Raw genomic sequence first — 16,337 nt, 5'->3', positions numbered from 1 at the left:
AGATTTAACCCAAAAAAGACTACCTCAAGTCATTTAATAATCAAATTCCTAAAGCTCAAAAATAAAGAATGGATCTTAAAAGAAGCAAGATAAAATAAACAAATAACATACAATGAAACTGCAATATGTCTGGCAGCAGACTTTGCAGTGGCAACCTTATGGACCGAGAGAGTGGCATAACATATTTAAAGTGCTGAAGGAAAAGAAAAGATTTTTCCTAGAATAATATATCCAGCGAAATATGCTTCAAACATGAAGGAGAAATATTTTCCCAGACAAACAAAAGGGTTTTCATCAACACTGAACCTGTCCTACAAGAAATGCTAAAGGTAGTTCTTCATTCTGAAGGAAAAGAATGTTAATGAGCAATAAGAAATTATCTTGAGGTACAAAGCTCACTGGCAATAGTAAGTGCACAGAAACACACAGAATATTATAGCACTGGAATCATGATATGTAAACCACTCATATCTTAAATAGACAAAAAGATGAAACAAACAAAAATAATAACTACACAACTTTTCCTGACATAGGCAGTACAGTAAGATATAAGTAGAAAAGAACAAAAAGTTAAAAACTGGGGGAATGAAGTTGAAGTGTAGAGTTTTTATTTTCTATTTGCTTGTGTTTTGGCTAGTTTTTTTTTTTAGGAAATCAGTGTTGTTATCAGTTTAAAATAATGGGCTCTTTTATTTGCAAGCCTCATGGTAACCTCAAATCAAAAATATACAACTAATACTAAAGAAACAAGCAAGGAGCTAAACCATACCATCAGAGAACATCACCTTCACTAAAAGAAAGGCAGGCAGGAAGGAAACAAGGAAGAAAAGACCACAAACCACCAAAAACCAAATAACAAAATGGCAGGAGTGAGTGTTTACTTATCAAGAATAACATTACAAGTAAATGGATTAATCTCTACACATATAGACTGAAAATAAAGGGATGGAAAAAGATATTTCATTCCAATGGAAATAAACAAACAAAAAGAGCAGAAGTATCTACACTTATATCAGACAAAATAGATTTCAAGAAAAAATCTATATACAGAGAAAAAAAGATCATTATATAATGATAAAAAAGTCAATTCAGCAAGAGGTTATAACAATTGTAAATATATATGCACCCAACACTGGAACAACCAGACATATAAAGCAACTATTATTAGAGCTAAAGAAAGAGATAGATCCCAATACAATAATAGCTGGAGACTTTAAAACTACACTTTCAGCATTGAAGAAATCTCCCAGAGAGAAAATCAACAAAGAAACCTCAGACTTGTACTGCACCATAGTCCAAATGGACGTAATACATATTTACAGAACGTTCCATCCAATGGCTGCAAAATACACATTCTTCTCCTCAGTGCATGGATCATTCTCAAGAATAGATCCTATGGTGGGCCACAAAACAATTCTTAAAACATTCAAAAAATTCAAATAATGTCAAGTATTTTTTCTGTCCACAATGGAAGTAAAATAGAAATCAATAACAAGAGGATTTTTAAACTATATAAACACATGGAAATTAAACAATATGCTCTTGAATGACCAGTTGATCCATGAAGATATTAAGAAAGAAACTGAAAAATTTTTTGAAACATATGATAATAAAAACACAACAATTATTTCAAGTGGTAAGTCTGGCCCTTGTTGCTCCCTCATGGTTAAAAACAGAAGTTGAATTTTTAAATGTCTTAATTATTTTTCTGTTTCATTATTACAGATATAATTTCCCAAAACTATGTTTTTAGCAGACTTTTTATTGTCAGGAACTTACACATACCTGATTTGCAAAGTTGAAAAAGACCATCATGAGCCTTAGGATAGAGATTCACTGTTGAGAACTGATTGAAACTGGTTGGTGCAGATTAATAATGAGAACAGCAATGAGAATATTAAGATCAGAACTAAATTAAACTGTTGCTAATTTGAATTTCTATTTTTTTAGTTAAATAAAGCCTTATGAATTTTACTGTCAATGTAGTTATAAATAATTGTGTCAGAGAGGGTGATTTTAAGTAAGACAGCAAATTAAAAACTCATCACCCCAATTTTCCAGAACAAGAATCTTAACGTAATTGTCTAATGAAAAGAATAAAAATACTTTCTTAATTTTCCCAACTCTAAAAATTTAGGAAGCTTTAATATAGATATAATGCTCCCTCAGGTTTAAGAGTAAGAAAGTATTTTGTGGTTAATACTTTGTGTAGGTCAAATTGTTGGTCACTGTGGTGGATTAATTGCCATAAAAGCTCCAATGGGTTCACATATTCCTCTTTCCAAGCTTTTCAGTAGTGCCCCCTTACAGTAACTCTGGCCTTGGCCATGTGGCTTAATTGGGTCAATGGGATGTTTGCAAATGTGATATAAGTAAGGACTTAAAAAGCACTTGTACATTGGGTCTTGCTTTTTCTTCTTCTTGGAACCATACTGTCACTCTTTATATAAACTTGGGCTAGACTACTGGGTATTGATAGACCTTATTAAGGAGAAAATAGGGACTCCAGTTGACCTGGCAGCTGACTGACCCTGGTTGAGTCCTGGCTGAAATCTGCTTTCCAGGCCCAGATTAGCTGAGCCTAGCCCAAACTGCCTACTAATGGAATTATGAGTTAAATTATTTCATTGTAATTTAAACTACTAAATTTTGGGATGGTTTGTCATGCAGCAAAACTAATTAATAAACTCTCTTAGCTGATGTGAGTTCAGGTGAGAGAGTAAAAATTCCTCCACTGTGTTTAGCAGAAATAGTACTGGAATTCACTGGGTACTCCTAGTTGAGTTTCAGCTTTTATTCTAGTAAAAAGCTATTCAAGTTGTAGGATATCCTGTTTTGGTACCTAAAATAGAGATATAATTTTATCTCTAAAAAAAATGAGAAAATAGAGTTAGGCAATGTGTTTGTAATTTATTGTAACTCAATGTTTATTTTAATATGATCTTGGGAGGTGGTAGCCTATTAAGCTCACCACATGACTGATTAACACATTCCTCTGTAGTTTCCAATGTTCTATCTGTGTAAAAGCCCTTTGCTACAGAATGTAAAAAATAATACAGAGATTTTAAGAGTCCTAACTGTTTGCTCCTTCTCCTGTATATTTTATCTTAATCCATGGTAGAAACATCTATGCATTCATGGAAGCTAGAAAATTCAGAGCCATCCTCCTTATGATATCCTCTCTTATCATTTATATCCAGTCATCAAATCTTATTGTTTTGCTTTAAAAATTCCCTTTATATCTAACAATTCCACATTGGTAGCAGTTACAAACCTAAATCAGGTTTTGCTATTTCCCTACTGAAAACCCCTCTGAGGCTTCGAGTGCAAAATTTCATTGGTCCTTGTTGTAGACATTTATTTCTTGTCTCTGTAGCATCTATTCTTAATTTTTGCCTTTTGAATAGTACCCTGGATTTTTCAGTGATGAGATTTGGGAGCAACAACCTTGTGCTTGGCTCTGAGAATGAGTTTTGATTGGCTTAAGCAAGTGAGCCTGTCCACAAATCCCTGCCACATTGATTGGCTTAAGAATGGGCACACTGCCAAGTTAAGATATGACCAAAAAGTCTCAATTCTCTGACTTTAGTTGAGTTGTTAGTGAATAAAATGTTCTTTTATTCTCCACTAGGCATAACAAATAAGCATGTAACCTTGAAGCAAGGCCATTGAAGGAAGCCAACCTGTGAAAACGTAGTTCAGAAAAGATGGTCACAAACAATATGGTCACATTGTTTGAACTCCAGATTCAGTCTCATCTGAAATTACAATTACTCTGGACTATTCCCTCAGGTGAATCAGTAAGATTCTCACTCCCTTCCTCCCTTTTTCCATCCCTCCTTTCCTCTTTTCCTTCCTTTCTCCCTTCCTCTTTTTTTTTTTTTTTTTTCCCAATTAAGTGTTTTGGAACAAAGAATTCTAAATAATTAAATTTTCTCATGGTTTAACTGAGAATTTTTTTTATTTTAGTAACATATGTTTATTCATTTCCCCTAATCAGTCTACAGCAAACAAATAATATCATAAATGATAATTTAATTATGTTTGTACAGCTGGAATAAATACTATGAAGAAAAAGTGGATGATTCCAGTAAAATCGATAGTGGGGAAAACCAAATCCTGTTTGGGTGTCAGGGGAAGCTTCTCCAAGGAAAAGCCAATTTCAGTTCAGGCCTGAAGGCCTATGGACACCCTCACTCCTGTTAGTTTTGCTGGAGTCAGGGCTTTCTTTGTATCTCTTAAGCCTAAATAGTCAAGAGAAGTAGTTTGGTTAGGTGGATAGTGAGTATCCAGGTAGAGAGAGACCACACCAGGGAATATTCTTAGAAAGGGACATGATAGTCATATGGAGATCCTATCCTGAGTGACAGTTTTTTCCTCTCTGCTTATTATGCTTTTGAAACACCTTAAGAAAAATATCTTCTTTTTCACATTTCTTTTTAGATTTCAGCTGCTATTTGGAGTAGCTGGAGAAAACATAACCAGTTTCCAACTGCAAGATGAAGACAGTGTGTTCTTTGTCTTCTCCAGTAGCTTCTTTATACCACTACAATTTCTCCCTTGTTGGGGAGAATTCTTTACCTGCAAATACAACTGATGGTTTCCAGGTGTCAGCAGAAGACCTTCAAAAACACACTGATGGACAGTTTGGTTCTATCATGAAGGAAACATCTGTCACCCACTTCCAGAAAATGAGGGTTGCCCTTCCCTCAACTGTGGCAGGGAGCTGAGGACACAACATCACAGACTAACTATTCTCACAAAGAATGTTGGGTTTAAAATAGAAATTTCAGCAAACGACACCACTTTTCGCAAGTAGCAGCTAGTATCATCTAGCACTGAATACAAATATGACTTCACTTAGTGAGAGTCTGTGAATGTATCAGATTTAGAGGGTTTCTGTGTAAATGATATCCTAAATTTAAATGCTCTGGGAGCATAGATTGAACTGTCGTGAGGGATTTGTCTCAGAGATAGCCAAATCTTTGTGGAAGGCTTCCACTCTGTTAAATGGGACCAAGAGATTTCACAGTCTAATCTATTTGGGTGGTGGCTTTTTATTTCAAAATCATTTTGGCTTTCAAAGTATTTTTTGTAATTTCTTTCCAGCCATTGAATAAAACAACTCTAAAAGACAGGAAGATGCATTGGCTACTCTGATTCCCATCAGCAGTGGAGAAATCAGTGCTGAACTTTCTGAATTTTATAAGAAGTTTCTTTAATTGCTATTTTGATTCTCTGGAAATTCGGACCTAGTTTGCCTCAATATTTAGATCCATTCTTGCTAGATATGCAATGTCTGCTTAGTGACATTTAAGATAACCTTTAGGAGTTATTTATTTATATGGTGACATGCAAGCAAGAATTGTTCATGGATATGAAGTCTAACTTAGAACCACTCAGGAATAAGAAAGACTGAATTTCTGTGGGCCATTTGCATGTAAGAACAGATTTATTAATATGATAGAATATGCTTGAGTAAAATAATTATGAGTGCTTAATGATCGTGCATTAGACAAACATGAAAGACATTTTTGCTCTTATTTCTATTTCTATTTTAGATATTACTAGTTCAGATAATAAGGAATGCTTTCTCTTCACTTTAGCTCTTTGAGTAGATATCGTGAAGCAATTTTGCTCTCATGATTGTTTAAAGTAGATTAAGAGTTTGGAAGAATGAGATGGTTCAAAGAGTTTCAAGTTCTTTGGAGGAAGTTTTGTTATCCAAGTATTTCTGGAAATTCTCAGGTACATGGGAAGAATATTTCTCTCTCTCATGTTAAATTTAAAACATGTTTTATATCTTCTAGTGGTCTAATGAGGGCCAAACCATTCCATAATATCTAGTTTGACAGAATTGTTAGGGAGCTAGTAAGTTTTGGAAAGAATAGTGAAACAACATGCAAAACAAAATTTAGAAGAGGCTACCTGTGATTCTAGACAATTTAAATTTTGTTGTAAAATTCTCATTACCTTGGGAAAAAAGTCATTTTTTAATAGTGGAACAGGACTTTGATTGTTAGACTCAGTGAAGAGGGAAAATTTGAGGCTAATGTTTCTTGTAGCATTTGTTGAATGAAGTCATTAAGTGGCTGCTGATTTCTTGATAGAGTCAGGCCAGTTAATTTATACACATTGTGATAGAATTACCTTGCTTGTACAAGTACATGAATAGATGAGTTTAAGAATGAATGGCAAAAATGTAAATCTAATTAGTGAAAAGTGAATTATGAAAGATTTTGGTATAATTGTTTTGTTATAGGAGCATGAAAAATCTTAATAGAATTTTCTACCAGCCAAAGGCTTTTTATATCTGCTTTAATAAATAACTTGAAAAATTTATATTTAGTATATACTTCACACTTAAAGTTTGGTTTTTAAAGTACTACTATTGAAACACTTGAAAAGTGCTTTTTCTCCTTAGAAGGTCAAAGTGTTGCATACAATTTACTTAGCTTGTATACATATTTATCCTTATAAATAGTACAAAGCTTTGCCTTTTGAAATAGTCACAAATCATATCGAGGAATTTTAATTTTTTGAAAACTGTTACCACATTTGAAAGAATCATAAAGATGGTAGGGCAGAAATGATTGTTTTTAAATGAATTAGAAGTCACATGGAAATGCAGACATTCCCAAGGGCCTCTGATTCAGCCACACTTGAGCGAAGTCTGAGTCCACACCTCTGCATCTAAGAATAATGAACAGTTATTGTTATTTCCATTATAATACAACTGCCTTTATGTTTTTCTGTTAACGGCACCTTTCTTTGGAAAACTACTCCTCAAATCCTTCCATGTGGTTCCATAATGGATCCTAAGCCCTTTCCATCCCCTTCAAACCAGCAGGAGGTGGACCATTTGCAGCACTTCGCCAGCCCATTGTTGAGTCCGAGGGTGGGTATGCATCAGAATCCTTCCCCAGAATGTTTCAGTCTTGGGTGTTGGTTGTGTTGATGCTATGTCCTTTCAACTTTAGTGGTAAAGATGGGAATCTGACCTGTTCATAGCCATATTCTCTGCCACATGGAGACTGTTACTGTATAGGAGAAAAGGATGAAAGATTTTAACATAAGATAATTCTTGGTTTTATTTTCTGCCCTCTTTCCTGACTTGGGGTGTTGTTTCGTTCTTCCTTTAATTTTGTGACCACCCCTTGTTTTCTTCAGATAAATGGATTTTTCTTTCCCAGTGGCATAGTAATTAAGTGTCAAACTGGCTCAATTCCTATCTGAATCCATGATCTACCAGTTCTGTTGGTGTGGACAAGTGCCTTGAGTTCTCTGAGCCACATTTCCTCATGTGTCAAAAATGAGACAAAGAGAGTACCTAGCACATGTGTGAGAAATACTTAGCTAAATGCTTGGAACACAGTAAGTTTTTGGTGAATGTTAATTATTGCTCTTACTGTTATAGTTTAAGCTATCTTCCATTGAATTTTTGTCACTTCCACCCAAAGGAGTCGTGACCCACAGAATGGGAGAAAATATTTGCAAACTCCTCATCTGACAAAGGATCAACAACCTGAATATAGAAGGAACTCCAACAACTCTATAGAAAAAAAATCTAATAATCCAATCAAAAATGGGCAAAAGATCTGAATAGACATTTCTCAAAAGAAGACACAGAAATGGAAAACAGGCATATGAGAAGGTGCTCAGCATCATTGACCACCAGAGCAATACAAAATAAAACTACAATGAGATATCATCTCACCCCAGTTAAAATGGTTTTTATCCAAAAGACAGGCAATAACAAATGGTGGCAAGGATGTGGAGAAAAGGGAACCCTTGTACACTGTTGGTGGGAATATAAATTAGCACAACCACTCTGGAGAACAGTTGGGAGATTCATCAAAAAACTAAAAATAGAGATATCATGTGATCCAGCAACCCCACTCCTAGATATATCCATAAAAGAAAGGTAATACAAATATATAGAGATATCTGCACTCCCATGTTTACTGCAGCACTATTCACAATAGCAAAGATTTGGAAGCAACCTAAACGTCTATCAATAGATGAATGGAATAAGAAAATGTGGTACATACACACAATGGAGTACTGTTCAGTCATAAGAAAGAATGAGATCCTGTCATTTGTAACAACATGGATGGAGCTGGAGGTCATCATAAGTGAAATAAGCCAGGCACAGAAAGGCAAACTTCTCATGTTCTCACTCATTTGTGGAAGCTAAATATTAAAACACCCAATCTTATGAAGATAGAAAGTTGAAGGATGATTACCAGAGGCTGAGAAGGGTAGTTGGGGTGGTAGGCAGAGAAGTGGAAATGGTTAATGGGCACAAAACATTAGTTAAATTAAATGAATAAAATCTAGTATTTGATAGCACAACAAGGTGACTATAGTCAGTAATACTTTAATTGTACATTTTAAAGTAACTCAAAGTGTATAATGTCATTGTTTGTACCACAAAGGATAAATGCCTGAGGTGATGGATACCCTTTTTACCCTGTTGTGATTATTACACGTTGTATAATTCATCAAAACATTCCATATATCCCATAAATATACAAACCTGCCTTGCATCTTCAGAATTAAAAATTTGATAAGAGTCCTGTTAGTCATTTACTTTAATCAGATATTTGCTGTCCCTGTTGCCTTCCTTATAAATGCTAGATTCATAGAATCTCATGTAATGAAGTATTCTTGTACTGCATGCATTTAATGTTGTAGAAATTAACTTCCAATATTTCCAAAATGGGAATTTCAACCAAAAGTAATAAATGACCGTTCTATAACTTCAAATCAAATCCTGGCATTTATAAAGAAGGCATAATATGCTAGTCTGTGATCTAATTGGGACATTGGAAATTAAGGAAACATAAAGCAGTATACATAATTTAGTAGCCACAATGGGTGCTGAGCACCTAGGGCTTTCCTTTTATAAAGTCTCTAGATGATATACTGCAATGGAATTTTATCATACTCAATGGATGTCTTTATTGCAGATGAACTGTAAAGTTGTCAATGCAGACATTGTGTTTATGTGAGTTTTCCCTTTAGGTCCACAGACACATGACATGCATATCACCAAAAGAGGAGGAAACAGAAATGATGGAAACATAAAACATTGAGCAGAGCTGCAAAGAGAATGAGACTTCTCTTTGACACATATTGTATGACATTTCCAAAGTATGGGGAATATTTTTGTATATTTAACTGGCAAAATATTTTTTAAAATCCTGCAACTCTTTTCTTTTTTCTCTTTATCAGTGACAATACATGTCTCGGCTAACAGTATTCTGCACAACTATAGCTTTAATTACATATCTAATATGTCTCCATCAGTTTCCTTACACCATTCCTATTTTCATGCTGGCTTGCAAAATCTTTAAAAATATTAAAACATGACATTTTAAGTCCTATTTTGGTTCCTGGAGTTAGTGATTTTATACACTGAAATTTATCAAGGCAAAACACTTTTTTACTTTACATTGATATCACCCTCTCACATCTTTCTCTAACTGTAAATTTGGAACACAGATTAAAGATGGGTCAAAGGATTGAGTTTGACAAGGAAGATTTACGCTGAAGTTTAGTTAAGCTTTAGAACAGATATTGTAACTTTTCTATGAAAAACTAATGTACACTGACATATAGAGAGCCAGAAAAAAAGTTAATGGTATAGAAAAAACAGTGCTAAATTAATGTTGCATGTTAATAATGCACTATTGGCTCTGCTCGAGGAGATGAGATGGTGTAAAAGGATGTGTGTGTGTGTGTGTTTGGGCGTGAGTGTGTGTGTGAAATAATGTGTGTTGGTAAGGAAGCAGAACAATATAATTTACTTTCAAGTAGTTTTATTTTTTCCTTTAAGAAAATTTTAGATTCATAGGATCTCATTTAATGGGATATTCTTGTACTGCTCTTAATCTTGTAGAAATAAACTTCCAACATTTCCCAAATAGAAATGTCACCCAAGGGCAATGAATGCTTCTTCTTCTGTTTCTACTAACTTTAATAATCTGTTAGTAGACTTTTGTAATGTAATCTACTTAGACCAGTTGATTTACTAAATTATATATGCAAGAAGCAATCATTCGCCTGTAGAAATCATGTATGTATCTGAAATTGTAAAAGTCTATTATATTTAAAGCAAATTTAAAGACTTTGGTGTAATTCCAAATTGATGTTATTACTTTCCCTTTCTTTCTTTAGGAAATAGAAAGCCAAATAGTCTATGGAATATTCTCTCATTCGTGTAACCCATATTATTTTATAAATTCTCGTGAGGGATTTGAAGTTTTACCACAAACTAGCTTTGTGACCTTGTACAAACTACTTACTCCCTTATTCTCTGTGATTCTCAGTTCGCTTATCTATCAAATGGAGTAATAACATCACTCACTTCATAGGGTTTTAAAATAAAGATGAAATAAGATATTATGTGTGATTTGCCCACATTTTGACACAGAGTAAGTGCTCAATATAAGAAACTGGACGTTCTGGGAAAGCTTGAATTATGTCATTTTTGGAAAAAGAATTTCTTGTCTTACCTTAACATGACCTTTTTTGAAGCAGTTCTCCCCATGGAAACCTCCAGCCCTGGCCCAAGAAGTCAGAATCTGCGGCGTTTGTTTAGAGTGTTTAGGGAAATAAATCTCTCCTGCCTCCTGCCTCTTTTTTCCTGTGCTGCTCCCTGAGGAGGGCTACTTAATGGTCTTTTTTCTTTTGTTCTAACTTCCATTTGGCTACTAATGCCCAGAGTCAGCTGGAGCCTGCTTCCTTTTCTGAGCACCCAATAATCAGTGTGATTCCAGATGTACTTAACATGGTAAAGACTTTAAAAGGTCCTGGTGGCTTACAACTCATCAAGTATGCATTTTTAACAGATGGTTCCTATATTTCCATTTCGGGAACTCTGTATCAGCCATCCTCATCAGGACTCTGCTCCTTTTCTTTGTATTTTTACCCTTGGGCTCTATATGGAAGCTATCTCTTTGGGTTTCTGCTGGTACATATTTGCAAAAGGCTTGGTTAATTACTATATTCAAACTCTCAATTGTAGAGTCTTGGTTAGAATTTAGAGCTCTGTTTATAATAAAAAGAAGGTTAGAATTAGTTGGTTCCAGATTAGTTTAGAGGCCTTTGAAGGCCTTAGCGCTAGATTGGGTTCTGAGTTCGAAGAACCATAGACCATTCTGTGCATGAAAATGTAAAAGAGGGGGAAAATGACTACTTCTTTTTTCATATAATGTCATTTGTGACCAACATATTAATTACCTGGTCAAATATTTTCTTAACATCATCCCATATCCCACTCTGTTTTTCTCCTCTTCTAGTGCCTTTCTTTCCTGAAACCTTATGTCTTCTTTCACTTAAACAATACCTCTTCATTCTACAGCACTCCAGGAAATTTTTCCTCTCTTCTTTCTATTAGAATTCTTATTGCCTCAGTTATTTTGCTATTAGAGAGTTAATAGAAGAGTGATACCAGAAAACTAATTCACAGTACTACCGTTAAAAACACTTCATATGTGCCAGGCATAGTTCTAAGCAGTTTCCATAGAGTAAATCGCTTTAAAACTTCACAGATTTCCTATGAGGTAAATTCTACTTTTATTATCATTTTACAGGTGACTAAATTAATACAGAGTGATAGAAAATTACTTGTTTTTTGCATCGCTTACATAGTAGAGCTGAGATTGAGTTTGTTTGACTCTAGGGCCAATGCATTTAACCGTCATGTTATCCTGCTGTGTTTCAGAGTGGGGCTGATTTTCTTGAAGAAATCATCATTTTATACATGTCAGGCAGATTGGAGAAAGAATTTTGGGGGATATGGGCTAAAATGTGTTAGGTTCAGCCTGGATCTAGATCTCAGGGTCAACTGCCTTTTGGGATTCCTGTTTTTATATCCTCCCTTTTCACTTCTGAACTCAAAGAACGCTTCTTTCCAAAGCTTCAATGATGGGCTGGTAGGAACTCTGAGGTGAGGTAACCAAATCCTTTTTAAAGTTTTTTGTGTAAATGAATGTTTATAAATTGGAAATTGGCCTGTTTTGACTTTGAACCCAACTTTGATGTCCTACATCTCAAATAGAGTAATTATTATATTACTAAATCTTCTTGTACTTTTAGAGACTTCTTAACAGTTGTAGAGGACGTATTTAATAATAGAACAGCCTAATTTACCTGGATGAAAAGGAAACTCTATAGACGGAGGCTTTCGCAGACAAACCCTATTACTGTAGCAGAATGGGAAGGAGAAATGAGAAACTGCTGGAAAAATAAATCCTCCAATCTTGCCTCTCTAAATTTCTAATGCTCATATTAAGTGTTAACTACATTTAGTTTATGATTTTTAATTTCCTTTGAATGGTTAAAGGAGAAATCACCTATAAGAGAGATAAAACTTAATAGAAAACGCTTTATACATCTATGGGTTTTTCTGATCTTCTTTGAAACAAACATTACTCTTTAGGAAGCTCTATAAATCCTGATTGCAGAAAATTAATGTTGAACTATAGAAATCCAGGCAATTTGTCAATCATTATTCCAATCTTCACAATATAAAGATGTACTAATTGGAGATCAAAGCCAGTGACTTGAGAGAATGCATCACTAACTAAAATATTAATACAACTCAGACCCCCCAGTTCCACGTGATAGTCAACTGTTACCCACCAGTAAAAGAATAATAAATTTTTATAGGTAAAATTTCTCAGATATTCCCATGTAATCCTCTATTGAATGTTTACCATGCTCTATAATACTGCTTGAGTCTAATTAGTTACAAAATGTATGCTATTGAACAATAACTATTTCCCCTGGGTTTTCATTGAACTCATTTGAGTAAACATACGCATGTATACATATATAGTCATACTTCAGTATTCATGAGGGATTGGTTTCAGGACCCCTTTTGGATACCAAAAGTCAAAGGATACTCAAGTCTTTTGTGTAAAATGGTGTAGTACTTACAAATAGCCTAAACACATCCTTCTGTATACTTTAAATCATCTCTAGATTACTGGTAATACCTAATACAATGTAAGTGCTATGAAAAGAGTTGTTATGCTATATTGTTTAGGAAATAATGACAAAAAATAATGACATGTTCAGCACAGATGCAACCATCCATCTTAAAAAATATTTTTGATCTGAAACTGGTTGAATCCATGAATGCAGAATCTACAGATAGATGTGGAGGATCAACTCTAGGTATACCAAATTAAAACCATGGATAGGAAAAGTAGAAATTAAACTCAACTCCAAACTCAGACGTATTTCCACTTCTCAAGTCATAAAATATACATTCAATGCCTAGTATATTCTTAGATTAGACAGATCATAAAAACATGCAACCTGCTGATCTATTTTACATTGTACATATGCATATTGGATAATAATACTGATTATGGAATTTGACTGAGATGTTGGTGATTTAAAAAAACTGGCATAGAAAAGTACTACAAACTAGGGTTTTGAAATAAACAAGATTTATGATAGAAACTGGCTTCTTGGTTTAAAAAAAAACAAGGCATGTTAAATTCAAACATTACTAAAATACATAAACAGAATTCTATTTATCATATGTCACTAATTAAGCATACATAAAACAATTACGTTAGTCATTATATATGACTAATTAGTCACATATAAAACCATTGGCTATATACATGGTTACTCTTATTTAAATGAGATTGTAAAACAATAGTTTCATCAATTGTTTAAAAACAAACAAGTAAACAAGCAAACCTAATAATTATAGGTCAGGATAAATGCTAAGAAAAAAACATAAGCATGATGTGATTAGGAATGACAAATGGAGTATGGGTACTTAGGGTGGGAGATTTTAGTTAGGAAAGTGACATTTAAATTGCAACCTGCCTTCAAGGAATGCATAGTTTGTTGTAGGACGTAGACCAGAAAGCAATAATATATAATTCAATTTGACAAGTATTACTACAAATCTATGAGTGTAGTGATGAGGGAACAAAGAGGTAGGAGCAACTAATTTTACTCTGGAAAATCTCCAGAGACCTCACAATTATTTGGGCTGGGACATGAAAAATAAATAGGAGTTTGTTAAGTTTGAATTCTGCATTCTTTATTCTTAGTTAATACCAGAGGGTTCATGGAACAGACACATAATAGGCTTTTTAGCTGATGATGTATTGTATCACTTAGAAATAGTCAACGCCATGCAAATGGGTTGCTTTTTTGTAAATTCTCTCACCGAAGAGAGCCTGTATCCAATAACTGGTCAATTAGAGAGGATGGGCTGGGGGGAGAGTACAAAAGGCCCAGTTCCCTTGCCTCCATCTGAAGGTTTCTCCAGTTTCAGAGCAAGCTGTAGGAGATACCATCGGGTACAGCGTTCGTTGTGACTTCATCGCAATTCAGCTTCTTCCTCTGTCCAATCCTGTTTATTTCATTCCCACACAGGTGTTGGTCTTCAATAAATTCCTGCATGTAAATGATCCACCTTAGAGTTTTTTTCCAGGGAACCTGACTTAAGACCAATTCTCAGTAAATACTTATTGATTGATTGCCTGAGATTTATTCAGGAATAAAGAGAGCAATACACCATACGTTGATAATTATTATTGATGGCTGCAAATATCAGAGGTAGCATTGTTATGATTAGGATTCATATGCCTCATTAGCATTCATTAATGTAATGTGCTCTGTTGTGCATTTTCTAACTGTTTTGAGGAAAGTTAGCTCCTCCCTTACATGTAATTATACACATAGGTCTTGATGTTTAAGAATAATTAAAGCTAATTATTCCCATCCTGTTCAGTCTCCATCCCAAATTCTTAAAGAAAGTTTCAGAAGCAGCAAATGACAAACTCTTCTCTGATGGAAAATTTGGTTTCACGCATTATGAAGCATTTCCATGAGGCATGGTGGAATTTACACCAGAGGAACCATTGTGGTTCTCAGTGAACGCTGAACTACCAAAACTCAAAAATGGATGATCATGTAAGTGTAGCCAGATACAGTAAGACATTGATGTTAGTAGTTGGTCACCTTTCTTCTAAGCCTATATTGCTCTGGGGACAGTCTTCCTTATCATAATATTGGGATGCCAAATATTTTGAATACGTGATAGAAGAATTTCAGTTTTTTAAATCATTGATATCCCACAGCAGTTTCTTATTCCACTACATTTCTGACTGGAAATGTTAGCACTGACACTTTTGATTACATAATTAGAGATGACTCCCCAAAGCATTGTTATTTGACTTTCCTTTCCAGCTTTCTGGAGATTGTGAGAGAAGATGTCTGGCTTCCCCTAGGTGTGTCTATCAAACTCTGTTGATTGTTATTCAGTGTGAGACTGAGATGACTGATAAAATAAATGAGTAGAATAAACAGCAGAATTAGTTTTTAATTTCCTTTTTCTCTTGATTGCTCACAGTGTGTGTTTGCAAAGGCATGATATTATGGCTCCTCTTTTGTATCAGAGATGCCAGGAGCTTGCTTAGTTTGCAGTGCTAAAAATGATGTTTCAAGACCCATCACAATGAAGGGAAAATGAAAGTAAAGCAGTTTAAGGGGCAAAAATGAAAACAAAATGGTCTGTGTTTTGCATTTTATAAGCTCTCTTCTATACAGTCATCTTTTTTTATTTCTAATGAAAATTTGTAATGATAGATGAGATGTAAGTTTTACAAAGCTTTAAAAGGTTTCTTCTTTGTTTTTCTCCTCCTCTTCCTCCTTCTTCTCTTCCTCCCCTTTCTTTTCAGGTGGTATTTTCAAACCAGCGATTAATCTGGGTTAGTGATCAAGAAAGATTTTCAAAATGCAACTTGCAGGAAAGACATTATTAATTTTCCTTTCTCTTGCTCCATAGTCAGATTAACTTATCCCTAATATGTTAATATTAATGTTGAGAATAGTGTAGACTCTTTGCTAGATTTTCTGATTTCTTGATTAGGGTTTTCTTTTTTCTTTTCTTTAGAGGGTCTTACTCTGTCTTGCAGGCTGAAGTGCACTGCAAGATGCAGTGCAAGTGCAGATGCCACATCATAGCTCACCGCAGCCTCAAGCTTGTGGGCTCAAGCAATCATTCCACCTAGGCCTCCTAAAGTGTCAGGATTACAGTTATGATCCACCACACTTAGCCTAATATGGTCCTTTTTTCTATTGTTGTACTAAGAGGCTATCTAAAGCATAAAATTCTTTGAGAAATTGCCAAACTGCTTTCACAGAATTACCATTTGACCTAGCAATCCCATTATTGAACATATACCCAAAGAATATAAATCCTTCTACCATAAAGACACATGCATATGTATGTTCATTGCAGTGCTATTCACAATAGCAAAGACATAGAATCGACTTAAATGTCCATCAGTGAT

At 34.6% G+C, this 16,337-nt stretch overlaps 1 annotated feature.

The window, feature by feature from the left end:
- Window positions 6,749-6,918: an enhancer, noted in NCBI's record as "experimental_21850 CRE fragment used in MPRA reporter constructs". NCBI's record gives its function as "activates a minimal promoter by MPRAs in K562 erythroleukemia cells, with activity observed for both the introgressed and non-introgressed 11:91498860 variant alleles {active_cell/tissue: K562}" and the evidence as "EXISTENCE:reporter gene assay evidence [ECO:0000049][PMID:34662402]".

This window comes from Homo sapiens, chromosome 11 (assembly GCF_000001405.40).
Source record: "Homo sapiens chromosome 11, GRCh38.p14 Primary Assembly".
In the NCBI taxonomy this organism is placed as follows: domain Eukaryota; kingdom Metazoa; phylum Chordata; class Mammalia; order Primates; family Hominidae; genus Homo; species Homo sapiens.
Note: the sequence above shows the minus strand (reverse complement) of the source record. Positions and strands in the feature narration are given on the sequence as shown.